Source organism: Homo sapiens, chromosome 11 (genome assembly GCF_000001405.40).
Source record: "Homo sapiens chromosome 11, GRCh38.p14 Primary Assembly".
NCBI lineage: Eukaryota > Metazoa > Chordata > Mammalia > Primates > Hominidae > Homo > Homo sapiens.
Window position 1 is genome coordinate 119,138,455 of NC_000011.10, and position 25,464 is coordinate 119,163,918.

At 51.4% G+C, this 25,464-nt stretch overlaps 1 protein-coding gene across 5 annotated transcripts, besides 4 other annotated features; it reads left to right on the forward strand.

The window, feature by feature from the left end:
* Nucleotides 9,980–10,039: an enhancer, noted in NCBI's record as "active region_5626". NCBI's record gives its function as "activates an Ori minimal core promoter by ATAC-STARR-seq in GM12878 lymphoblastoid cells {active_cell/tissue: GM12878}" and the evidence as "EXISTENCE:reporter gene assay evidence [ECO:0000049][PMID:35858748]".
* Nucleotides 10,598–24,212, forward strand: ABCG4 (ATP binding cassette subfamily G member 4). 5 transcript variants are annotated; one of them, NM_001348192.2, is made up of 16 exons: nt 10,598–10,826; nt 11,500–11,749; nt 14,749–14,803; nt 15,572–15,689; nt 15,806–15,938; nt 16,071–16,121; nt 16,316–16,461; nt 17,875–17,998; nt 18,110–18,224; nt 18,418–18,560; nt 19,780–19,878; nt 20,103–20,271; nt 20,375–20,475; nt 21,773–21,931; nt 22,084–22,202; nt 22,427–24,199. In NM_001348192.2, the coding sequence occupies exons 3-16, from the start codon at nt 14,749–14,751 to the stop codon at nt 22,650–22,652; spliced, it is 1,758 nt and encodes a 585-aa protein (NP_001335121.1). In that variant the 5' UTR covers nt 10,598–10,826; nt 11,500–11,749; the 3' UTR covers nt 22,653–24,199. The 5 variants fall into 5 exon arrangements, with proteins under 5 accessions (NP_001335121.1, NP_071452.2, NP_001335120.1 ...); NM_022169.5 differs by lacking the exon at nt 14,749–14,803 and having other exon boundaries at nt 10,598–10,909; NM_001348191.2 differs by lacking the exon at nt 14,749–14,803.
* Nucleotides 10,697–10,776: a silencer, noted in NCBI's record as "silent region_3971". NCBI's record gives its function as "represses an Ori minimal core promoter by ATAC-STARR-seq in GM12878 lymphoblastoid cells {active_cell/tissue: GM12878}" and the evidence as "EXISTENCE:reporter gene assay evidence [ECO:0000049][PMID:35858748]".
* Nucleotides 18,193–18,693: an enhancer, noted in NCBI's record as "H3K4me1 hESC enhancer chr11:119027357-119027857 (GRCh37/hg19 assembly coordinates)". NCBI's record gives its function as "activates a minimal SCP1, AML or CMV promoter by ChIP-STARR-seq in naive and primed H9 embryonic stem cells {active_cell/tissue: H9 hESC(naive and primed)}" and the evidence as "EXISTENCE:reporter gene assay evidence [ECO:0000049][PMID:30033119]".
* Nucleotides 20,117–20,616: an enhancer, noted in NCBI's record as "H3K4me1 hESC enhancer chr11:119029281-119029780 (GRCh37/hg19 assembly coordinates)". NCBI's record gives its function as "activates a minimal SCP1, AML or CMV promoter by ChIP-STARR-seq in primed H9 embryonic stem cells {active_cell/tissue: H9 hESC(primed)}" and the evidence as "EXISTENCE:reporter gene assay evidence [ECO:0000049][PMID:30033119]".

The window sequence follows — 25,464 nt, forward strand, 5'->3', positions numbered from 1 at the left end:
CCAGGCTACAGTGAATTGTGATCGTGCCACTGCATTTTAGCCTGGGCAACAGAGCCAGACTCTGTCTAAAAAAACAAACAGCAACAACAACAACAACAACAACAAAAAAGAAAAATACAGGAGCGAGGATATTTGATAGGGTAAAGCCCCTAGATTTGGGGTGGGAAGAATATAGAGAACAAGTAGATAAATAAAACTTGGAAAGGAATGAAGTAGAGAGAAGAAGGTAGGAATGGGAGTGGATATGGATTTTGTTCATAGGCATAAGGGGGATTTCATGCTTGGTGGTCTCTATTTCATTGATAAAGTAGGAATTAAAGTTATTGAAGATAATCTGTTGGATTAAGGATTTATACAAATTGACACATTTTAGAAATGCCATTAACAGATATAAGAATGAGATAGAAGACCTGACGACCCAGCTGAAATTGAAGACCAAGATCAGGCAGGGGCAACTTCAATACAACCATAGAATTTTTTTTTTTTTTCAGCAGACAGGAGCACCCCTGGAACACAAACAGAAAACAGACCACTGGGTGTATCACAGCAATGGTGTGGTGGCCAGGACATGGGTTGCACAGGGCCAAGGAGCAAGGCAATTAGAGCAGCTAGAGATGGATCATGAAGTCCAGACTGGACGGTGAGGGCCTAGGAAGCTGGAGGTAGTACAGCAGTTACAGTCACACCACTGGAGGTTCCAGTGAGGCTTCTGAAGATTAGTGGGCAGAAAGGAAAGTTTGTGGTCAAGAAGGGAACTTTTGTTTAATTGATACATAATAAGTATACATATTTATGGGTAATATGTGATATTTTGATACATGCATACAATGTGTAATCAAGGTAATTAGGATATCCATCACCTCAAACATTTATCATTTCTTCGTGTTGGGAACATTTCAAATCCTTTTCTAGCTGTTTTGAAATATACAATAAGTGGCCAGGCAGAGTGGCTCACTCCTGTAATCCCAGCACCTTGGGAGATCGAGGTGGGCGATCACGAGGTCAGGGGCTCGAGACTAGCCTGGCCAACATGGTGAAATCCCATCTCTACTAAAGGTACAAAAAATTAGCTGGGCATGGTGGCGCTCGCCTGTAATCCCAGCTACTCAGGAGGCTGAGGCAGGAGAATCGCTTGAACCCAGGAGGCGGAGGTTGCAGTGAGCTGAGATTGCACCATTGCACTACAGCCTGGATGACAGGGCGAGACTCCATTTCAAAAAAAAAAAAGGAAAAAGAAAAAGAAATATACAATAAGCTGCTGTTAACTAGAATCACCCTACTGTGCTGTAGAATGCTAGAACTTATTCCTTCCATCTAACTATATTTTTGTAGTCATTAACCAATCTCTTCATCCCCCACCCTTCACTTCACTACCCTTCCTAGCCTGTGGTAACCATCATTCTACTCTCCACCTTCATGAGATCAACTTTTTTAGCTCCCACATATGAGTAAGAACATGAGATATTTGTCTTTCTGTGCCTGGCTTATTTCACTTAACACAATGTCCTCCAGTTCCATCTATGTTGCTGCAAATGACAGACTTTCATTCTTTTTATTTATTTATTTTTATTTTTTTGACAGAGTCTCGCTCTGTAGCCCAGGCTGGAGTGCAGTGGTGTGATCTTGGCTCACTGCAACTCCATCTCCCAGGTTCAAGCAATTCTCCTGCCTCAGCCTCCCAAGTAGCTGGGATTACAGGCACCTGCTACCATGCCCAGCTAATTTTTTGTATTTTTAATAGAGACGGGGTTTTGCCATGTTGGCCAGGCTGGTCTCGAACTCCTGACCTCAGGTGATCCGCCCGCCTCGGCCTCCCAAAGTGCTGGGATTACAGGCATGAGCCACTGCGCCCTATTTTTATTTTTATTTTTGAGACAAGAGTCTGGCTCTGTTGCCCAGGACAGGGTGCAGTGGCGCAGTGGCACGATCTCGGCTCACTGCAACCTCCACCTCCCGGGTTCAAGCAATTCTCCTGCCTCAGCCTCCCAGGGAGCTGGGATTATAAGTGCGCACCACCACGCCCAGCTAATTTTTGTATTTTTAGTAGAGATGGGGTTTCACCATGTTGGCCAGGCTGGTCTCGAACTCCTGACCTCAGGTGATCCACCCGCCTCGGCCTCCCACAGTGCTGGGGTTACAGGCGTGAGCTGCCGTGCCTGGACAAATTTCATTCTTTTTTATAGCTGAATAATATTCCACTGTGTGTATGTACTATATTTTCTTTATCCATTCATCCACTGATGGACACTGAAGTTGATTCCATTTCTTGGCTATTGTGAATAGTACTGCAATGAACATGGGAGTGCAGATATCTCCCCGATATACTGATTTCCTTTCTTTTGGATATATACCCAGCAGTGGGATTGCCGGATCATATGGTAGGTCTATTTTTAGTTTTTTGAGAAACTTTCATACTGATTTTTTTTTTTTGAGACGGATTCTCACTCTGTCGCCCAGGCCGGGGTGCAGTGGCACAATCTTGGCTCGCTGCAAGCTCTATCTCCTGGGCTCAAGCAATTCTCTTGCCTCAGCCTCCCAAGTAGCTTGGATTACAGGCACGTGCCACCATGCCCGGCTAATTTTTTGTATTTTTAGTAGAGACGGAGTTTCACCATGTTGGCCAGGCTGGTCTTGAACTCCTCACCTCAAGTGATCTGCCTGCCTCGGCATCCCAAAGTGCTGGGACCACAAGCGTGAGCCACCGTGCCCGTCCCATACTGTTTTTTACAGTGGTTGTACTAATTTACATTTCTACCAACAGTGTACTAGCGTTCCCAGAAAGGGGACATTTTTAAATGGAGCTATTCAGAGTCTAGAGTACGTCCACAGGGAAGTAGGCTGCTAAAGGGAGACAGGTCACTGGAGTAGAATAGACCAAGAGAAATAAGGCATTTTGAATGCCTACTAGGAGTGACCTTTCTGACCCACCCATCAGTGACGTGGATCTTTATGATACTGTGAAACATATCAGGTGGCCCTCCATATCCGTGGGTTTCACATCCATGGATTCAACCAACTTCGGATTGAAAATATTCAGGAAAAAAAATGGCAGGTGCATCTGTATTGAACGTGTACAGACTTTTTTTTCTTGTCATTATTCCCTAAAAATATACAGAATAGTATAACAACTATTCACATAGCATTTACATAGTATTACGTATTATAACTAATCTAGAGACGATTTAAAGTATATGGGAAGGGCCGGGTGCAGTGGCTCATGCCTGTAATCCTAGCACTTTGGGAGGCTGAAGTGGGCAGATCACTTGAGGAGTTCAAGACCAGCCTGGCCATTATGGCAAAACCCCGTCTCTACTAAAGATTCAAAACTTAGCTGGGCATGGCGGCACGTGCCTGTGATCCCAGCTACTCAGGAGGCTGAGGCAGGAGGATTGCTTGAGCCCAGGAGGTAGAGATCACAGTGAGCTGAGATCGCAGTGAGCCGAGATCACACCATTGCATTCCAGCCTGGGTGACACAATAAGACTGTCTCAAAATATATATATATATATTATATATAAGTATATATGATATATAAGTATATATTTAAGTATATATAAATATGTAAGTATATACTTATGTATGTATAAGTATATATAATATATAAGTATATATAAAATATATAAGTATATGTTTTTATATAAGTATATATAATATATAAATATTATACGTAATATTTATGTATGTGTGCAGGGAATTCAAAGCCAGCTTTCAAAGATCAGATCAAAACTACTATAAAGTCTGCTTTAATACATGAAATTAAAAAAATATAAAGTATATGGGAGGCTGTGCACGGGTTATGTGGAAATACTATACCATTTTATATTGGGACTTGAACATCTGTGGACTTTGATATCCAAGGGGAGTCCTGGAACCAATCTCCCACAGATACTGAGGGACGACTGTACAAATGTACAATATTTGGTCTTTTCCTCATTTCCTGGCATACAACTTCTAAAATCCTTGGACTCTTCACAGTGTAAGTGTCTTTTTGTGACCCAATGAGTTGATTGAGGGCTGGCAGCACCTAGGTAGCTTCAGGATGGGCGCTGATCATTGGAAAGACCAAGGCAGAATTAGAAGGGTGAGACTTTCAGCCCCACCCCACAACCACCAGGAAGGGGAGAGGGGCTGAAGGTTGAGTTGATCACCAATGACCAATGATTTAATCAACCATGCCTATGTAATGAGCCTCCATAAAAACTCAAAGGAGGTTCAGAGAGCTTCTGGATAGCTGAACATGTGGAGGTTCCTGGAGTTCCTGGAGGGTTCTTGGAGAGTGCATAGAAGTTCTCCACCCTCTTACCGGGCGCGGTGGCTCACGCCTGTAATCCTAGCACTTTGGGAGGCTGAGGTGGGCGGATTGCCTGAGCTCAGGAGTTCGAGACCAGCCTGAGCAACACAGTGAAACCCCGTCTCTACTAAAATACAAAAATTAGCCGGGCGTGGCGGCATGCACCTGTAATCCCAGCTACTCATGAGGCTGAGACAGGAGAATCATTTGAACACGGGAGGCGGAGGTTGCAGTGAGCTGAGATCACACCACTGCACTCTAGCCTGGGCGACAGAGCAAGGCTTCGTCTCAAAAAAAAAAAAGAAGCCCGGGCGCGGTGGCTCACACCTGTAATCCCAGCACTTTGGGAGGCCGAGGCGGGCGGATCAAAAGGTCAAGAGATCAAGACCATCCTGGCTAACACGGTGAAACCCCGTCTCTACTAAAAATACAAAAAAATTAGCTGGGCATGGTGGCAGGCGCCTGTAGTCCCAGCTGCTCGGGAGGCTGAGGGAGGAGAATGGCGTGAACTTGGGAGGCGGAGCTCGCAGTGAGCCAAGATCGCGCCACTGCACTCCACCCTGGGCGACAGAACTAGACTCCGTCTAAAAAAAAAAAAAAAAAAAAAGGAAGTTCTCCACTTCTCTCCTCTTCCCACATGCCTCACCCATTGCCTCTCTTTGTCTGTATTCTGTGTAATATCATTTATAATAAGCTGATAAGTGTAAGTAAAGTGTTTCCCCAAGTTCTATTAGCCACTCTAGCAAATTAATCAAACCCAGTGAGGGAGTTGAGGGAACCCTGATTTATAGCCAGTTGGTCAGAAGCATGAACAGAAACAACCTGCGGCTTGTGATTAGCATTGGAAGTGGGGGGTAGTCTGTGGGACTGAGCCCTCAACCTGTGGCATCTGACACTATCTCCAGGCAGGTAGTGTTGGAATTGAATTGAATTAGAGGACAACCAGCTGGCGTCCACTGCAGAATTGATTGCTTGCTTAAAGTGTGGGGCAAAACACCCACACATCTGGCATCAGAAGAGTGTTGTGAGAGTATAGTAAGAGAAACTGAGTTTGTGTATTTCTGTGTATTCTCAACCCAGTATTAGGGGTAGGAGAACAGGGCCCAGAGAAAAGCTGGGGAGACACCTGATCTGTAAGGCTGGTTCCACCCAAAAGATACAGCCAAGAGGTGTGGTGTGAGTTCAAGTTTTAAGAGAAGGAAGAAAAAGAGATAAGAGACTTCGGCAGAGACCCTTGGCATTCTGCAGCTTTGGAGAACCCCAGTTTCTTCTTATCAAAGGAAATGGTGGTACATAATTATCAAAGGAAATGGTGGTACATAGCAGGAGAGAGAGGGAGAGACAAACACTGCACTTCTATTTTATTTTTATTTCATTTTTTTTTTTTTTTTTGAGACAGAGTCTTGCTCTGTGGCCCAAGCTGGAGTGCAGTGGCACGATCTTGGCTCACTGCAAGCTCCGCCTCCTGGGTTCATGCCATTCTCCTGCCTCAGCCGCCTGAGTAGCTGGGACTACAGGCGCCCACCACCACGCCCGGCTAATTTTTTGTATTTTTAGTAGAGACGGGGTTTCACCATGTTAGCCAGGATGGTCTCGACCTCCTGACCTTGTGATCCACCCGTCTTGGCCTCCCGAAGTGCTGGGATTAGAGGCGTGAGCCACAGCGCCCGGCAACACTGCACTTTTAAAATTCACTTCAAAATTGCTTGATTTTGTTTTGTTGTTATTATAATTTTTTTTTTGAGATGGAGTTTCACTCTTGTCATCCAGCCTGGAATGCAGTGGCGCGATCTCTGCTCACTGCAACCTCTGCCTCCCAGGTTCAAGTGATTCTCCTACCTCAGCCTCCCAAGTAGCTGGAATTACAGGCATGTGCCACCACACCTGGCTAATTTTTGTATTTTTAGTAGAGACAGTGTTTCACCATGTTGACCAGGCTGGTCTTGAACTCCTGATTTCAGGTGATCCATCCGCCTCAGCCTCCCAGAGTGCTGGGATTACAGGCGTGAGCCACTGCGCCCAGCCTATAATTTTTTAAAAATGCAACAGCAACAGCAGAGACTCTGTCTAGTCTCTGAGGGGTCGGGAGAGGCAATCAATAGTTACCCCTCCACGGCCTCCACTCCAGCGCCTATGCACATTTTTCCTTTCTGCCTTGGGGAGCCACAGGAGGACTGGAGAGCTTTGCTGCTGCGTACCGGCAGGAACCCTGAAGCCAGCTGAGTGGGTGGGGCAGGGTGGGGGTTTGTAGTCAGTCTCCTCTTTATCCACCCCTCCTTCCTGGTCCTGGGCTGCATCTCTCCAAGTGACCAGCAGAGGGGCCTTCATTAACAAATACACTTTAAAACCATTCTGTCCAGAGGTGACAGACCGTCATGGTGGGCAAGGGAGGCACAGTGGAAGAGAGACCTGGGATGGTGGAAGCAGAACTGGTCAGTTCCAATATCCCCCCAGTCGAATTCCTTTCCAGCTCCCACAGGACCCTGTTAACCCTCCTTTTTTTCCATAGGCCCACAAAGCTGCTTAACAACTGCTTCTCCCACAAATCCCTGCCCACAGCAGCCTGTGTCTGTTAGATTAGCTCCTGGCACTAAGCTGAGATGGGAATTTTCTGCTTCTGCCTTGCTCCTCTTAAGCCAGTTATCATCAACCCTTACATGTCTGGGCCTAGGGAAACATGCCCTGGATGGAGGCTCTGTCCTGATGGTGGGGGTGAGGAGATCTGGGGTGGGAGTTGGGAGAATCCTAGAGAAAGGGGAGAATCCGTCTCAGGGAATGGGAGGAGGTCTGTTTGGAGGAATAGGGGAGGATCCACCTGGACGTTGAGGGAAAGTCTGGTGAGAAATAGAGGGTTTGTTCTGGGGATGGGAGGTCTAGACTAAGCAAAGAAGGTTCTTTTAAGCAATGGTTCTCAGAAGGTGGTCCCTGGACTAGCAGCATCAGCATCACTTGAGAACTTATTAGAGATGTAAATTCTCTGGCTCCACCCCAGATACTGAATCAGAAACTCTGGGAGTGGAGCCCAGTAATCTAATCTGTGTTTTAACAAGCTCTCTAGATGATTTGGATGTGCGCTCAAATTTGAGGACCACTGCTCTTGAGTTACAAGGTCTACTCTAGGAGTTGGAAGTGTGTGTTCTCAGGAATCAACGGTCCATCTTGGGGGATATGTGGTGGGAGTGGGGAGTATCTCTAGGATGGAGAAGGTCTGTGCTAGGACCTCTGGAAGGCTGGAAAGGTTCTATATCCTAGAATGAGAAAGGTCTGTTCAGGGCAACTGAGAAAATCTGCTTTATAAAGTGGGAAGGTGACAATAGGTAATGAGGAAGTTTGACATCGTAGATAAAGCCATGGTTTAGAATCACTGAGACCTGGATTTGAATACCTACATCCATCACACTAGCTATGTACTTCATACTTGTACTTAACATTTCTGAGCTTCAGTTCCTTATCTAAAACATGGAAGAATAATACTGACTTCATAACATTGTTACAAGGACTGGTTAGACTGTTCAGTCAATGGGTATTTATGGAGTGCATTTTCTTTTTTTTAATTTTTAATTTTTTAATTTTTTTTTTGTATAGAGAGGGTCTCCTTACATTGCCTAGGCTGGTCTCAAAATCCTGGGCTCAAGCAATCCTCCTGCCTGAGCTTCCCAAAGTGCTGGGATTACAGGCATGAGCCACCACACCCAGTTTTGACTGCAATTTCTGTGTCCAAGTTCTAGGAATGTAGTGGAGAAAGACTGGCCTAGCCCCTTACTCAGAGATCAACCATATCTCCATGCTATGTGCCTAGCAGGTAGTAGACATTCAATAAATGTAGTTTCCCCTCGTTTGCTAAGGAAAGGAAGATTCATCTGGGGGAAGGAAATGAGCCTGAACCGTGGTGTGACCTGGGAAGTAAGAATGTATGGTCTATGCAATGGCATGATTATGGCTCACTGCAGCCTTATCATCCCAGGCTCAAGTGATCCTCCTGCCTCAGCCTCCCGAGTAGCCGGGACTACAGGCACACACCACCACGTCTGGCTTATTTATTTATTTAATTTTATTTTTTGAGACAGAGTCTTGCTCTGTCGCCCAGGCTGGAGTGCAGTGGCACGATCTTGGCTCACTACAACCTCCGCCTCCCAGGTTCAAGTGATTCTTGTGCCCTAGCCTCCAAAGTATTATAGGCATGAGCCACCATGCCCAGCTAATTTTTGTAATATTAGTAGAGATGGGGTCTCGCCATCTTGGCCAGGCTGGTCTCGAACTCCTGACCTAAAGTGATCCACCCACCTTGGCATCCCAAAGTGCTGGGATTACAGGTGTGAGCCACCATGCCTGGCCTATAGTCTACTCTTGAGAATAAAAAATCTTAATCTGCTGAGTGTGGTGGCTCATGCCTGTAATCACAGCACTTTGGGAGGCTGAGGCGGGAGGATCACTTGAGGTCAGGAATTCGAGACCAGCCTGGTCAACATGGTGAAACCCCATCTCTACAAAAAATACAAAAATTAGCCGGGTGTGGTGGTGTGTGCCTGTAGTTCCAGCTACTCAGGAGGCCGAGGCAGGAGAATCGTTTCAACCTGGGAGGCAGAGGCTGCAGTGAGCTGAGATCTCACCACTGCTCTCCAGCCTGGGTGACAGAACGAGACTATATCAGAAAGAAAGAAAGAAGCAAAGAAAGAGAGAAAGAGAGAGAGAGAAAGAAAGAAAGAGAAAGAAAGAAAGGAAAGAAAGAAAGAAAGAAAGAAAGAAAGAAAGAAAGAAAGAAAGAAAGAAAGAAAGAAAGTTGTGTGCCAAAGAATAAAGCTGGGTGGCATTAAGACATGGAGGTTATCTCAGGAGGATGAAGAGCCTGTCTAGAAAATAGAGGGAGACAGTCCATTTGGGAATAAGGTTCTGAGAGGCCCAATTAGCAGGGTAAAATCAGGGACTTTGGGATTCAAGCCCTGCTTTGCCACCAACTATTGCTTAACCTCCCTATGCCTCAGTTTTTCATCTCTAAAGGGGGGTTGTAAAACCTGTCGCATAGGGATATTGTGAAGATTAAATAACATAATGCCTGGTACAAAGTAGTTAATAAATGCAACTGTTGGGGGATGGGGAGGTCTATAGTAGCTGATGAGAAGTTGACTTGGAGAATGGAGGGTCCATCTGGAGAACAGGAGGTTGGTCCTGAGGAATGGTGGTGATGTGGGGCATGGAGTTGGGGGAAGATAGGAAAGACTGGATCCAAACCCCACACAAACCTCAGAGTAACAGGGCGGGGCCTAGAGAAATCCTCCAGGGATCGCCAGCTTTTAGGGCTGTGGAGAGGTGGTTGGGAGGGGGGCCAGCAGGGGAGAGGTTTGACTGCTAGTAACCCTCAACTGCTGCAGTAAGGAGAAGCCTCAGCGGTGGCAGTCACACCAGCAGCCTCAGAGCCTTCCCTCCCCATCGTCTCTGCTGTGTGACAGGTGGGAACTTAAAAGCTCAGATCACGTGTCTTGGCTAGCTAACCTACTTACCCCTTGAAGACATAGTGGCTGGGACAGGCAAGGGCCAAGAGGAATTGGCTGAGAAAGGGGCAGAGCAGGGGAAAGCCCCAAGTGTGTTCTGGGGACCTACATTTGAAGGCTTTGGGGGCAAGGGAGAGAATGTGCAGGTGCATGAGATGCCCAGGGCATGTCTGCGAGCCCTGTGCATGCCCTGGCACACAGGTCCCTCCAGGATATGGCATGTGCCTGTCTTGAAGGCCTGTATCTGGCTAGGTGACTACAGTCGGAGCAGGCTGAGCACTGGGTTCCAGTTTAACTCTGGAGCTACTGCAGGCTCTCCCAAAGCTGCTGCCATTTTCCCTTCTTTATTAGTGTCCTAACTCAGAGAAAGTGTGAATGGGGAGACAGGAGGATGTTCCAATGTCCCAAGGCTCCTGCGTTTTTGAAAGCCTTTGCACCTCGTTTGGGGATTCCTGGAGGGAGGCCTGCGCTCATTCATGGGCTGGAACTGAGGGAAATTGTTGGGGGACTGGTATCGTGTGTGAAGACAGACTGACACCTTTACAATCCCTCCACTTTCCCCCACCCCCAACACCCTTGCCTAATCTGTCTTCCAGGGACTTGTCCCCACGGAGTGACTCCAGCTCTCCTTTCCTCACTGCCTCCAAGTCGGCCCTTTGCCATCAACCCCCAGTCCTGAGTTCACCCCTGCACCTCCTCCGGCCCCCGCGCCGCAAGCGCTGCTCTCTCCTTTGCCGTCCTCGCCCCCCGCGGGCTGCCGGGCGGCGCGGGCCCTTTAAGAACGGCGGGACCGGCGAGCAGTAGCTGGTAGGAGAGCGCAGTCGCCCCGCGGGCTCGGAGGACACAGCGTCCGGGACCAGGCTCTGGGAAGCGGGTGTGCACAGCCCAGCAGAGTCAGGGCGCGACCCCAACCGCCTCTCACCATCCTTGCCGTCTCCTCCGAGCCGAGGGCCGGCCCTCCTGCCTCGCCTGCCCCGCCCCGGCCCCGCCCCGGCCCGGGCCGCCGGGACCGGGAGCCGGGACGCGGGTGCCGCAGCCCGAGGCAGGTAAGGGGAGCCCCGGCTCTCCGTCCCCGGTCCGTGGCAGCGCTGAGCATCCCGGCCCCGCACCGGCCCGGGGGCGCGTCAAGGTGACTAGGCATGCGGGAGATGGGGCGGGGGCTTGAGCTGCCGTGGGGCGCTTAGTTTTGAGTCCGGGTGGTGCGCCTGGCTTTGGGGACAGCCCGGGGCACGCGGGCCCGGGGGTGCCGGCGGGAGGGGCCGGCCTGGGCGTCGCGCCAAGGGATGGGGAGTGGGACGCAGCCGGAGGCCTGAAGCCTCCTCCTCTCCGCCTTCCCCTGGTCCGCCCTGCACTCACCCTGCTACCCCGACCTCCTAGAGCGGGCAGCCTCTGCCGGCTGCCTCTTCTCCCCCGCCCCCTATTCCTTCAGTCCCCAGGGGCTGCTGGCCTGCGGGGTAAGGAGATTAGAGAAGCCGCCGGGAGGAAGGAGCGATTGAGGGCTTCAAGGGGACGGGCTGGGGTCAGGCTGGAGCTGGGCTGCCCGGGACTGAGCGTCTCCGTGCGGAGAGTGGGGGGCGGGGGCAGAGTGCGGGGCTAACAGTCGCGGATCTGCCCCGAGAAGGAGGTGGGCAGTGGGGGCGGGGGAAGCATTAGAACGCCAGGGAGCTTTGAGCCGGGCTCGGTGGTCTGCCCCAAACTGAGCAGGCCCTCCCCTTGCAGGTCGGCGGCGTGATGGCGGAGAAGGCGCTGGAGGCCGTGGGCTGTGGACTAGGGCCGGGGGCTGTGGCCATGGCCGTGACGCTGGAGGACGGGGCGGAACCCCCTGTGCTGACCACGCACCTGAAGAAGGTGGAGAACCACATCACTGAAGCCCAGCGCTTCTCCCACCTACCCAAGCGCTCAGCCGTGGACATCGAGTTCGTGGAGCTGTCCTATTCCGTGCGGGAGGGGCCCTGCTGGCGCAAAAGGGGTAGGGAACAGCCTGGTAGGGGGAGTCCGTGGGCCCTCTCTGAGTTGCCTCTCCAGAAGCATGAGGCCTGGGTGTCCCATGTTCGGAAAGTCCTGCACCAGTGGGCTCTGTGGAAACACTAAAATCTGGGCCCCAGCCCGTTGCTCACTGTGCACTCTTGGGGTGTCAGGATCTACGCTCCCCCACACCTGTGAGCACCATGGGATACTAGGTGCAATTGGTTATTGAAGCTGTATCTTCTAAAGAGATCCCGTGACCTCTGGTCCTTGAGTGGTCCTTGATGAGTTTTCCTTCTTTTGTTTATGGAGGATTCCTACCTGTGAGGGCTGGTATGAAAAAGTAGGGGGCTGTGTCTGCAGGGTTGAGCAATACCCTTGGACCTAATTATAAAGACGTTCTCATTCCTGTCATCTTATTCCATTCTTACCACAGTGCTCAGAAGCAGGGAGGGTGGCGGTTTGGCAGGATAGATGTCATCTCCATGTTACTAATAAGGAAACTGAGGCCCAGGGAAGTTGAGTAACTTGACCAATGTCACACAGCTAGTAAGTGGTAGAGCTGAGACCAGAAGCCCGGTTTCCCAGCTCTCCATGCATTGTTCCTTTCTCTCTCTTCCCTGTACAGCAGTCCCATCACTTCCCTCTTCCCGCCCATGAGGACAGGTTCCCCTGAACCCTGACTAGCCCCTGCAGCCCCTACCCTGAGCAGCTTTAGCTGCTAGTAGGGAAGCTGAGGCTGTTTCCCAGAGCCTGGGTGTGGGCCAGGGGTGGGGCTGGGACATTGTTCTCTGAGGTTCAACAAATAGGTTTGGGGTGCTTCAGAGCAGGGCTGAGCATGATCTGCCTCTGCACTCTCCAAACCCTCACTCCCATGAGTGACCAAAAGGTCACATGGCTGAACCAATGGAAACTGAGGCATCTGGGCTTCCTGCCCAGTGGGCCCTGTCCCTAAGCAACCTCTTTCGGTCCTGAGACCAGCTCTGGGCAAAATCATGAGGCAGTTGTTATTTCTTTAGCCCTCTCATTTCCTCATAATTTTAAGAAACTAAGATTTTTTTTTAAAATGTGTCTAGACGGGCCAGCTCTCCAGTTGCTTCCATGTGCCAGCCACAGATTGATATCCCTCACCTGGCCCTTCCCTCCTTTTGACCTTGCCAGCCTCATTCTGCTGTACTGGCCATTTTGCCATTTCTTTCATCCGTTGTCCCTTTCTCTGCCCCCTGCCCTCCCCTCGATGACTTCTGTTTTCCATTGAATCCCTCTCCCCTTCTCCAGAGGACAGAAAGCAATTAAGGGTAGGCAGAAAGGAAAGAAAGCAAGGAGGATGGAGAGAGGGAGAGTTCTACCTTTCCCAAGTAAGGATTTGTTATCATCTCCCCTAATTATGTATAGCATTTCTTATTTTTTCAAAACAGCTTCCTTTTAATTATTTTTAATAATCTCACTTAACATTCGTAATAACCCTGTAAGTCCTTGGGATTAGATATTACTATCCTTCCCTTATAGATGAGGAGTCAGAGGACTTAAAGATTAAGTGACTTGACAAAATTGCAAAGAGAGCTACTGACGGCGGCAGAACTAGAATACCAGTGTCTCTCCAGCCCAAGGGCCTGGCTGGCCTCTTCTGTGCTGAGCAGTTGTGGGACATGGGTTCCTAGTCACTTATAAGCTGTGTGACCTTGGGCAGGCTGCCTACCCGCTCTTGGCCTTGCTTTTCTCATCTGTAAACAGGGATGATAAGAATACACAGACTTGTGTGAAGCTCAGCTGAGACGGTATCTGTGAGAGGCAAATGTAAGATGACTTTTGTGTTAGGCATCAGTGTTCAACCAGCTACTGTAATTAATTGAGGGGAAGGTTCGTCGTTGCCAGTTTCTTCTCCTGCAAGAGATCACTTCCTGTGAGTGGCTCTGAAAGGCATATGCTGGAGTGCGCCACCAAATGTCTCTGATTGATGGCGAGGAGGACTGAGGCAGAGGGCTAGAGCCCACGGCTTCCCTCTCCCAGGAAAGAACTTGCTGTGTGACCCTGGGTGAGTCACTAGATGTCTCTGGGCCCCAGTTGCCTCACCCATGTTGTTAGAGAAACAGTTGAAGCTTTGTAAACCATGGGTACCATCCAGGCAGTTGCTGTGATCAGGACCTGGCAGCGGGCAGGAGCTGCTCCCCCTTCTGACGGGAAGCATCCAGAGGGAAAGCCGGGCCCAGAACACAGTCCTGGGTGTCGTGGAGGGAGGGTTAAATATGCCATCCCTTCACTGTCTCCACTAAGGACACTAAGGAGGTGGAGTGGGGAGGGACTTGGGCTCTGTGGGGGTTAGAGGGGGCAGCAATGAGCAAGGTGCTAGGTAAGGGATTGGCACGTCCTCACCTATGAGGCAGGTCTGCCAGCATCGCAGGCAGGGCCCTCCTTGGTGGCTTCATCCTTCCCCTCCACTTCCATGTCTCACCAGGTCACTCCATGTAGGCTCTGCCCTCTGTTCCTTGGATTGTGAGTGTATATACACATACTTTTATATCACAGAGCTTTTCCTCCCAAAGCCTAGAAGGCCTCTGCTTTCCCTTTGCCTTTTAGAATCCTGCTCATCCTTCAAGGCTTAGCTCAAACGCCACCTCTTCCATGAGGCCAGTCTTGATTTTCCTCTTTCCCCCCGACTCACGTCAATTCCATTCTTTGCGTTCTCACAGCACATTTTTTGTACTTCTGTTATAACCCTAATTTTATTTTTCTTCATAGATTTTTTTTGTTTTTCTGTCTTACTTAGACTATGACCTTCTTGAATATAAAAACTGTGTCTTCCTCAATTTTTATCCAGTGTTTGGTACAGAGCTTGGTATATAGTAGATATCAATAAGCATTTATCAAGTAGAATTAATAGTAAAATGTCACTTTTTAATGCATTCTATGTGCCAAGCACTGTGTCATGTGTTTTACATATATTATCTCATTGAATCTTTACAACAACCCTATGAGATAGGTACTATCATCCTCATTTTACAGATGAGGGACCTGGAGCTCAGAGAGGTTAAGCAACTTGCCCGAGGTCACACAGCTGGTAAGTGTGGAGCCAGAATTTGAACCCAGATCCACCTGACTCCAAACCGTGCTCTAAATGCATATGCTGCCTTCCAATGAATGAATGAAAGGTGAGATTTTACTGGGCCATGTAGGGGCTAGAGAAACAAGCCTGGTAGGCAGAGAGAGCGCAAAGAAGAAGGCTTTTTCTGAATTAGGGAAAAGCTCTGAGAACTCACGCTCGTGGAACAGACACTTACTGAACATCTACTACAGGCCAGACAGTCTGCTGAGATTACCAAGATGAGTGAGAACTGCCCCCAAGGAGCTCACTGACTAAGAGGCTGGGAGAGCTGGTCAAGTGACAGGCACATCAAGTAACAAACATGCTGGCATAGGAGAGGTGCTATGGAAACACAGGGGATAGGCAGCCAGCTCGGGCTGTAGTAGTGGGAGTTTTCCTGGAGGGGGCGAGACAGTGGCCACTGTGATTACAGAAGAGGACCAGGGTCTTCTACAGCTTTGATCCCCTCTCCACGCCCATCCATGAGATGTGTGGATTTTCCCACGCCTTTCAGAAGAGGATTGTTGCCTCTGGTACTTTGATATTAGTGGTGGTCGTTTCTAGGGGGACGGGATGAGAGGGATGGGTTCCTGCCGGGGCTATAAGGGTTGTTCCTCCATCCTAACCCAATCACACTGAGTAGGGGCTACCTATTTCACTGATAGCCATGGCTGCTCCTAAGAATTTTGGGGGTACCTCTGTTCACTGCAGCCTGACTAAAAATTCCTCCCCACCTCACTGCAGGTTATAAGACCCTTCTCAAGTGCCTCTCAGGTAAATTCTGCCGCCGGGAGCTGATTGGCATCATGGGCCCCTCAGGGGCTGGCAAGTCTACATTCATGAACATCTTGGCAGGATACAGGTAAGGAAGAGACTGGGGTGGAATGGAGGCAGGACTCAGGAAGAAGTATCCCTTGGGGAACACAGAAGGTATTCTGAAAGGGCATTGACCCCCATCCTCAACCCACATCCCTGCAGGGAGTCTGGAATGAAGGGGCAGATCCTGGTTAATGGAAGGCCACGGGAGCTGAGGACCTTCCGCAAGATGTCCTGCTACATCATGCAAGATGACATGCTGCTGCCGCACCTCACGGTGTTGGAAGCCATGATGGTGAGGGCTGGATAGTCACCCCTCCTCCCAGCAACCCCCTCTGTCTGCTGTCGCCACCTTCACCATTGGCGGAGGGTTCAAGGCAGAGCTCCCTCCCACACATACTTTTCTTGCTTACTCTCTGGGCCCCAGGTCTCTGCTAACCTGAAGCTGAGTGAGAAGCAGGAGGTGAAGAAGGAGCTGGTGAGTGGGGAAGGGAGGCAGTGGGACCACTCCCTTTTGTGGTGCTGCTGAGCTCAAGGCCCCGAGCTGGGAGTGGGAGAGTGGTGGCCTAGGCCGAGACAATGCACTTAAGGGAGATGCTTTTTGAAGCTGGGGTGGTGCCTGGGGGAAGCAGAGACTCCGAAGCTGACCTGGCATGGGTGGGGTGGGGCCAGGTGACAGAGATCCTGACGGCACTGGGCCTGATGTCGTGCTCCCACACGAGGACAGCCCTGCTCTCTGGCGGGCAGAGGAAGCGTCTGGCCATCGCCCTGGAGCTGGTCAACAACCCGCCTGTCATGTTCTTTGATGAGCCCACCAGGTAGTTCTCTCCACCCTTTCCCACCAGGATACCCCTCTCCTCTCGGCCCTGAGCCAGGGCTGGAGGCTGCATCTTCTCCATGATCCAGAGCCTCTGTTCACAGCCTCCTGGGGCCAAGATAAGGGCTTCTTCCTCATCTCCACCCTTGCCAATTCTGTTGCTGTGAGCTGCCCCATCCTTCGCCTGGGCAGAGATCTAGGTGTCCTCCTTGATTGACACCTCCCTCTCCAGTCACCCTCAGCCATCAGTCACCAAGTCCTGTTGATTCTGCCTCCTTTTGATATCTCTCAGATTTGCCCTGCCCCATCTCTAATGTTGATGTTAAGTTCAGGACAGCAACAGATTCTTATCTGCTTGTCTCCAGTGTCTCCCAGTCAATCCTTTCTCCAAACTGCAGCTACAGTGAACTTTCTTTTATTTTTTTAAGATGGAGTCTCGCTCTGTCACCCAGGCTGGAGTGCAGTGGCACAATCTCGGCTCACTGCAACCTCTGACTCCCGGGTTCAAGCGATTCTCCTGCCTCAGCCTCTTGAGTAGCTGGAATTACAGGCGTGTACCACCACACCCAGCTAGTTTTTGTATTTTTAGTAGAGATGGGGTTTCACCATGTTGGTCAGGCTGGTCTTGAACTTCTGACCTCAGGTGATCCACCCGCCTTGGCCTCCCAAAGTGTTGGGATTACAGGCGTGAGCCACCGTGCCCGGACAGAGTGAACTTTCTAAAGACAAGTCTGCAGTGCTCACTCCCCTGCTTAAAACATGCAGTGTTTCCTTTCTGACTTGTCCTCGAAATAAAGTCAGGTGACTTACAAGGGCCTGGTCTGAACCTACTTCTCCAGCCTCAAGTCATGTACTTTATGCTCTAATAATACTGAGTTGCTTGTAATTCCCTGGTCAAGCCACATGTTTCATGCCTCTAAGCTTTGCCCATGCTGTGTCTTCTGCTGGAATGCCCTTCACCACTGTGCCTGCCCTCTCCCCTTCACCTGCTTAGCTCTTACTCCTGGGCTCGCTCAGGAACCTTCTCTGACTACCCTCCAACACCTGCTACAGCTGAGCTGAATCCGCCCCCTCTTTCACCCAGTGTTGCTACAGCACTTTCCACATTACCCAAAATCATCTGTGTGCTTGTCTCTCTCTCCTTCCAGACCAGAGTCTATGTCTTATTTATGCATCATTGTAATCCCAGTGCCTGGCATACAACAGGTCCTCAATATATGCTTATGAAACTGAACAGTGCTCTTGGCTTCTGGGTATCCCTCCAAGTGCCTGAACCGTAAAGGATACAGATGCGGCCAGAGTGCCCTCTTCCTGCCAGCTTCATCCCCTTCACAGCAGCTGCCCCGCCCCAGACACTCCCTTCTTTTGGCCTCACCCACCTCACGTGGCCCCCTGGTGGCCTCTCTCTGGACAGTGGTCTGGATAGCGCCTCTTGTTTCCAAGTGGTGTCCCTCATGAAGTCCCTGGCACAGGGGGGCCGTACCATCATCTGCACCATCCACCAGCCCAGTGCCAAGCTCTTTGAGATGTTTGACAAGGTGAGTGTCTCCAGGCCTCAAGGAGGATTGGCCTGAGATGGAGGGATGGAAGGGGGTCAGTAGGGGTGCCTGGCCCGCTGTTCCTTCCTTACCCTTCTCTTTCTGCTGCAGCTCTACATCCTGAGCCAGGGTCAGTGCATCTTCAAAGGCGTGGTCACCAACCTGATCCCCTATCTAAAGGGACTCGGCTTGCATTGCCCCACCTACCACAACCCGGCTGACTTCAGTGAGTGGGGGTCTGTTGGTAGGGGCTGGGAAACAGCAGTGGGCCGAACCTGGGGTCTCTGGTCTTGCACTCAGGCCTCCTAGGGGTAGAGATCTCACCGTCGCCTGCCTTCCCCACACACCCAAGGCGGGACTGACTTGCCCTTGGGAAGTGAGTGTGAATCTAAACTGAGCTCTCCACTCTGTGTCCCCAGTCATCGAGGTGGCCTCTGGCGAGTATGGAGACCTGAACCCCATGTTGTTCAGGGCTGTGCAGAATGGGCTGTGCGCTATGGCTGAGAAGAAGAGCAGCCCTGAGAAGAACGAGGTCCCTGCCCCATGCCCTCCTTGTCCTCCGGTGAGTAGGGGTGGAGAGGGCAGAGCAGGCATAGTTGGGGAGGGGAGACTGGACCATGGACAGTGGCCCTGCCAAAGAGGCTGTTCCCCAGAGGCATTGCAACCAATGGGTGCTAGGAAGAACCTAGGACTTGGAATCGACCTACTAGGAACAGCACTGTGACCTTAGGCACATTATTTAACCTCCTTGAGCTCCAGTTTCCTCATTGACTTATTCATTCAGCAAGTTCTTGTTGAGCAGCTACAGTGTGCTGTCCTCGGTCCTGGCATAGTGCCCATCTGGTAAGCAAGATCAACATGGTCCCCAGCTTAGTGGCCAGTGTGGCTTACTGTTCTCTCTAACTTAGAGATGATGATACTCACCTCACAGGGTGATTGGGAGGACTAATTAGATAATCACATAAAGCTCTTAGCACTGTAGCTGGTACAGCAGGCGTCTGCCCAGTGCTAGTTCTCTTCCTTAAATGAGACACTGTAACCCCTGAAAACCAGATTGATTAGTTTTTGTTGTTATTGTTGTCATTATCATCATTATTAAATAACATTACTGTAAAATTGGTGGCATAAAGGAATTATACCTGGCCGGATACAGTGGCCCACGCCTGTAATCCCAGCACTTTGGGAGGCCGAGGCGGGTGGGTCAGGAGATGGAGACCATCCTGGCTAACACGGTGAAACCCCATCTCTACTAAAAATACAAAAATTAGCCGGGCGTGGTGGCGGGCGCCTGTAGTCCCAGCTACTCGGGAGGCTGAGGCAGGAGAATGGCGTGAACCAGGGAGGCGGAGCTTGCAGTGAGCTGAGATTGCGCCACTGCACTCCAGACTGGGCGACAGAGCGAGACTCCGTCTCAAAAACAAAACAAAACAAAACAAAAAAAACCCAAAACAAAACAAAAAAGGAATTATACCCTTAGAGTTCATGTGTTTTGATGGATTAAAAAAGTAACCGATCTATTATTAGCCACCACGGGTGTCCATTACTTTCTTTCCATCTCCTCCCTCCCAAGTTTTTGCCCCCTTTTTGTGTCTGAATCTTGCTCTGATTCATACCCCTAAGCCTAGCTTTCAGGTACACAACTTAATGGTACAAGATTCTCTGTAGACCTGGAGGACCCCTACCCTGGGGAAGAGCTCTGAGGTTTTTCATTCACTGAGCTGGGTGTTCTGTGGGTGAATGGGGTAGGCTCACCTGATCCCGATCCAATTTCTTCTTCCCAGGAAGTGGATCCCATTGAAAGCCACACCTTTGCCACCAGCACCCTCACACAGTTCTGCATCCTCTTCAAGAGGACCTTCCTGTCCATCCTCAGGGACACGGTGAGGCGTCAGGCTGGGGGAGAGGAGGCTGGCACAGGCCTGACCTTTTGGGCTGTAGGATCCCAGCAGCTGAAATGGGAATGGGGACCCTCCCTCACAGCCCTGCAATGTGCCTGTGGGGTCTCTGTGCCTGTGAGGGCAGCTCCGAGTTCCTACTCCAAGTCTACTCTGTGGCTTGCCCTGGCCTGTAACACATCCCTCTCCTGGTGATGACCCCTCCCAAGGTCCTGACCCACCTACGGTTCATGTCCCACGTGGTTATTGGCGTGCTCATCGGCCTCCTCTACCTGCATATTGGCGACGATGCCAGCAAGGTCTTCAACAACACCGGCTGCCTCTTCTTCTCCATGCTGTTCCTCATGTTCGCCGCCCTCATGCCAACTGTGCTCACCTGTGAGCTGAGCTGCCCTGGGCATGGGGCAAGGGTGTGGGTGCTGGGGCTTGGGGCAGGGGCCAGGGTGTCGGCCGGGTGTGCCTAAGCAGCCTGTGTCCTCAGTCCCCTTAGAGATGGCGGTCTTCATGAGGGAGCACCTCAACTACTGGTACAGCCTCAAAGCGTATTACCTGGCCAAGACCATGGCTGACGTGCCCTTTCAGGTGGGCCTCTTCCTCCCACCTGCCCACTGCCTCCATCTTGTCTTGCTCCTTCTATCCTTGCTTTCTTGCCTCCCTCAAACTTGTCACTTTCCTTCCTTTGCTGTCCTTCTACTCACTTAGCAAATAGATGGTGAGTACCTGTCATAGCCCAGGCTCTGTACCAGGCCCTAGGGATATAGCATTGAACTAGACTGATGTAGTCTTGACCATGTGGAACTTATGTTTTAGTGAGGACAACTGACAACAAACAGAAAATGATGAAAATAACCCTATAGGGCCAGGCGCAGTGGCTTGCGCCTGTAATCCCAGCACTTTGGGAAGCCGAGGCTGGAGGATCACTTGAGCTCAGGAGTTTGACACCAGCCTGGGCAACATGGCGAAATCCCATCTCTACTAAAAATACAAAAATTAACCAGGCTTGGTGTTGTGCACCTGTAGTCCCAGCTACTGGGGGCAATAACCCTACAAATGACTCTGTAACTCTTATTAGGGGCAGTAGAAAATGGTGTACTCTCTGGCTCTTACTGCCACTTGCTACCTGCAAGATCTTGGGCAAATCACTCTCTTTGCTAAAGTGTACCCATCTATAAAATGGAATGACAATAGTATCTACCTCAGGATTGTTAGAATTGAATGAGTTAATGTATATAAAGTACTTAGAATAGTGCTTGGCACATACGAAGTGCCCAGCAAATGTTAGCTGGTTGTTGTTACCGCCAATACCACCCTGTTCCAAGCATCAGGGCCACCAGTAATCCATAGGGCACATCTGTGCAAGTTAGAAAAAGGTGCCCCTTCCTCAGGGTGGACACCGTCACAGGATGCTTGGCTTAATAAGAAGAGCACAAGCTGGACCTTTGGCCTGGTTGGCTCTTGGTTGGATGCCCTTGAGCAGTGGATGACTGTACTTAGTAAGCTCAGACCCTGCCCCCTAGGAGTTGGTAGCTCATGGGGGAACAAAATGGCTCTCCTATGGAGAGTTAATTACTTAACAATATAACGAATAAGCTGGTCCAGGTGGGAAGGACTTTAGGCGCTCAGGGAAGGGAAGAGTCACCGTGCCTGAAGCAGTCAGGGTGGACCAAACGGAAGACGTGAGACGAGATAAGTGATGGTCATATGGCCAGGGAGGAAGGGGACGTGTGTCAATCTGGGGGACAGCTTGAACAAGAATGTGGAGGCAGGATGGACACCCTGGGAATAGGTATTCTAGAGGCCCAGCCTTGGGTGGAGTGGAGGTCTTGGCTGCTGTGCCCCTGGCTTGAAGTCCACTGTCCAGCCCGTGCCCACTCCCCAGGTGGTGTGTCCGGTGGTCTACTGCAGCATTGTGTACTGGATGACGGGCCAGCCCGCTGAGACCAGCCGCTTCCTGCTCTTCTCAGCCCTGGCCACCGCCACCGCCTTGGTGGCCCAATCTTTGGGGCTGCTGATCGGAGCTGCTTCCAACTCCCTACAGGTGGGAGGGCTGGCAGTTGGGAATTCCCAAGGCGGGATGAGGTCTTGTGGGAGGAAGCAGGGCCTGGTGCAAGGGTTAGGGTGGAGCTCTAGGAAACCTGGGTTTGTCCTGGTCACCCCTATGATGGCCTGGCCCCCTCCCTTCCCCTCTAGGTGGCCACTTTTGTGGGCCCAGTTACCGCCATCCCTGTCCTCTTGTTCTCCGGCTTCTTTGTCAGCTTCAAGACCATCCCCACTTACCTGCAATGGAGCTCCTATCTCTCCTATGTCAGGTCAGTACCCCTGCCCTCCTCGTTGGCCTCTGCTCCTCCCTGGAGGAGTCCATACCCAGGGCTTCCTGGGTTGTGCCAAGTCTGCTGCCTGCCCCATTATCCTTTGGGCAGGGGCACCCTGGCTGCACCCCAGGGATGACAGCATTGCAGCTGGGCTCTGGCAGTTTTCTCAGAGAGCAGGGACCCTGTGTGCTGTATCCCATCTGATATCCCTGCCTGCCTAGGTATGGCTTTGAGGGTGTGATCCTGACGATCTATGGCATGGAGCGAGGAGACCTGACATGTTTAGAGGAACGCTGCCCGTTCCGGGAGCCACAGAGCATCCTCCGAGCGCTGGATGTGGAGGATGCCAAGCTCTACATGGACTTCCTGGTCTTGGGCATCTTCTTCCTAGCCCTGCGGCTGCTGGCCTACCTTGTGCTGCGTTACCGGGTCAAGTCAGAGAGATAGAGGCTTGCCCCAGCCTGTACCCCAGCCCCTGCAGCAGGAAGCCCCCAGTCCCAGCCCTTTGGGACTGTTTTAACCTTATAGACTTGGGCACTGGTTCCTGGCGGGGCTATCCTCTCCTCCCTTGGCTCCTCCACAGGCTGGCTGTCGGACTGCGCTCCCAGCCTGGGCTCTGGGAGTGGGGGCTCCAGCCCTCCCCACTATGCCCAGGAGTCTTCCCAAGTTGATGCGGTTTGTAGCTTCCTCCCTACTCTCTCCAACACCTGCATGCAAAGACTACTGGGAGGCTGCTGCCTCCTTCCTGCCCATGGCACCCTCCTCTGCTGTCTGCCTGGGAGCCCTAGGCTCTCTAGGGCCCCACTTACAACTGACCAAAGTGGCCCCCTCTGGGGGTCCCCACCACACAAGTGTTTGTAAACTGGGCTGCTATAAGGTTGGAGTTCCAGGGCTGGGCCCTGGTGGAGTCCACTGGAAGTCCCATTATGGATGTTGAAATGGACAGGGAAGGACTCTGGAAGTCTCTTCCTCCTCCTCCTCTTCTCTCCACCCCTAGACCCTGGCTGACTTGGACAATCTGCCAGGACAGAAGCTGGGTTTTCTGTCTAGGTCACCACTCCCAATCCTGGGGATTGGAGAGGCCTGGGGCTGTGGGATGCCCCATCCCCCTCCCCATCACCTTTGGTGGGGGCAGGGCCTGGTGGCACCTGTGCAATAATGTCTGTGTTTCTCTCCCACCTGCCACTGGAACTGGAGAATGCACTTTATTCTGGGCGGGGGGTGAGTGGGGGAAGACCCAACCCTCCTTTCTCGCTGCCCCTAACGCATGCACGGTCTCGTGATGCTCCCTCCCTCTCCGGAGTGACAGGCACATACATGAGAACAGGCCATCTCAGCCCTACACACTTGCCATCCCCTACAGCACAGAGGAAGAGTGATGGTGGCATGCTGGTGGTGGCGGGTGCTGGTGGGAGGACAGTGCCAACCTCCTCCTGGGGATCCCATGTTGGAGACTCTAAGGATAAGGCTGGTGCTGCCCAGGGTGTCTACAGGAACTGCAGGTGTCTACCCCCAAGTCTTCCCTCCTCCCAAGCCAGGGGTGGCACAGGGCACTAGATCCCTGGAGTTCAGGAACCAACACAAGCACAACCACGGGCATAAGTTGGCCTTGGCCACTGCCACCCACGGCCCTCCTTTTGTGCTCCATGCTGGCATCTTCACTCCCCTACCCCTTCCCCAGCCACTGCTGCTCATTCAAACTTCTGTCCATGTCCCTCCACTGTTCCTATCAGCAGGTGGCCCCTGGGCATCAGAACAGCCTGCCCTGGGCACCAGGTGGCAGACACACTCAGAGCATGTCTGGCTTTCCTGGTGGGTCCAGGCTCATTCTGCTTCTGATTTCCCCTCCCCCAGGGCTCATTTTCCCCCTTTTTCCTGTACACATCCCTGTCTACCTCCTCTCACCCTGCCACAGATTCTTCCTATCACACAGGGATGCCAGTTGTATTTGTGGGATTTCACCCATTATTAATAAAACCTATATTTATACAGTATGCAATGTGTAAATGTGTGTGGATCTGCCACCTGGTACTGTGCCCTGCAAGGGGGCCTTCAAAGCATTTGGCATGAGGCCTGTCAGCTGTAGGGAGTCTGTGGCAGGGGATGGTAGGTCCCAGGTACATGTCAAGCTAGTGAACATGTAGCTTAAGAAATATTTGTGTCACCGGGCATGGTGGCTCACGCCTGTAATCCCAGCACTTCGGGAGGCCGAGGCGGGCGAATCACGAGGTCAGGAGATCGAGACAATCTTGGCTAACACGATGAAACCCCATCTCTACTAAAAATACAAAAAATTAGCCGGGCGTGGTGGCGGGTGCCTGTAGTCCCAGCTACTCGGGAGGCTGAGGCAGGAAAATGGCATGAACCCGGGAGGCGGAGGTTGCAGTGAGCCGAGATCGTGCCACTGCACTCCAGCCTGGGCGACAGAGCGAGACTCCGTCTCAAAAAAAAAAAAAAAAAAAAAAGAAATATTTGCATCATGCTGTCCATCTCACAGAGGCTTCACATTCATTATCTCAAGGGAGTCTCATGCTGACCCTGCACCATCCTTCATGACAACCCGTTTTGTAGATGAGAGAACTGAGACTTGGGTTAAGTAACCTACCCAAGGGCCCTCAACGAATGGAGGAGGAGCCAGGCCTGGAGACCAGGTCTTCTGCCTCCAAAGTCCTCTTTCTTGGCATCGGTCAATGGCACTTGTTCATGGTGGACCCACATGCTGTGTGGGGGAGCTGCGTGTCTGTTGTATGAGTGAGTTCTTGCCCAAATGATGCCTGCCTCTGTCTTCAGGACTCACTGAGCCCTGGGTGTGCCTGCAGGGGTGGGGTGTGTTAATGGTTATGGAGGGCAGTGAGAAGCAGGAAAGACCCTGGAGCCCCATCCCTAGGATGGGAGTGGCGGGGGCCTCGCTGGGCTTACTCGCCTTTCCCCTTGGCTTCTCCTCTCTTCCCACCCAGCCACCCTTACTGGGGCTGAACTGTCAGCCACCAGGAATACAAATGGGTCTGGTGGCTGGGGGTTTGGAGCAGGCAAGTGTCCAGAAGTTCTTGAGGACTGGGGGCAGGACAACCCAAGAAGCAGCGCACTGCCTCACCCTCTTCTCTCCTGGGCCTGAGGCTTGGGGACTGAAGGAAATGACTGGCATCAACCTGCCAGCTGCCTGGAACACCCTAGTTGTGCCACATGTAGACTTAAGTGACCCAAACTAAACTAGGGTCCAAGTTATGAGTGGTTGGGTGCTCACCTGGAGGTGAATGAC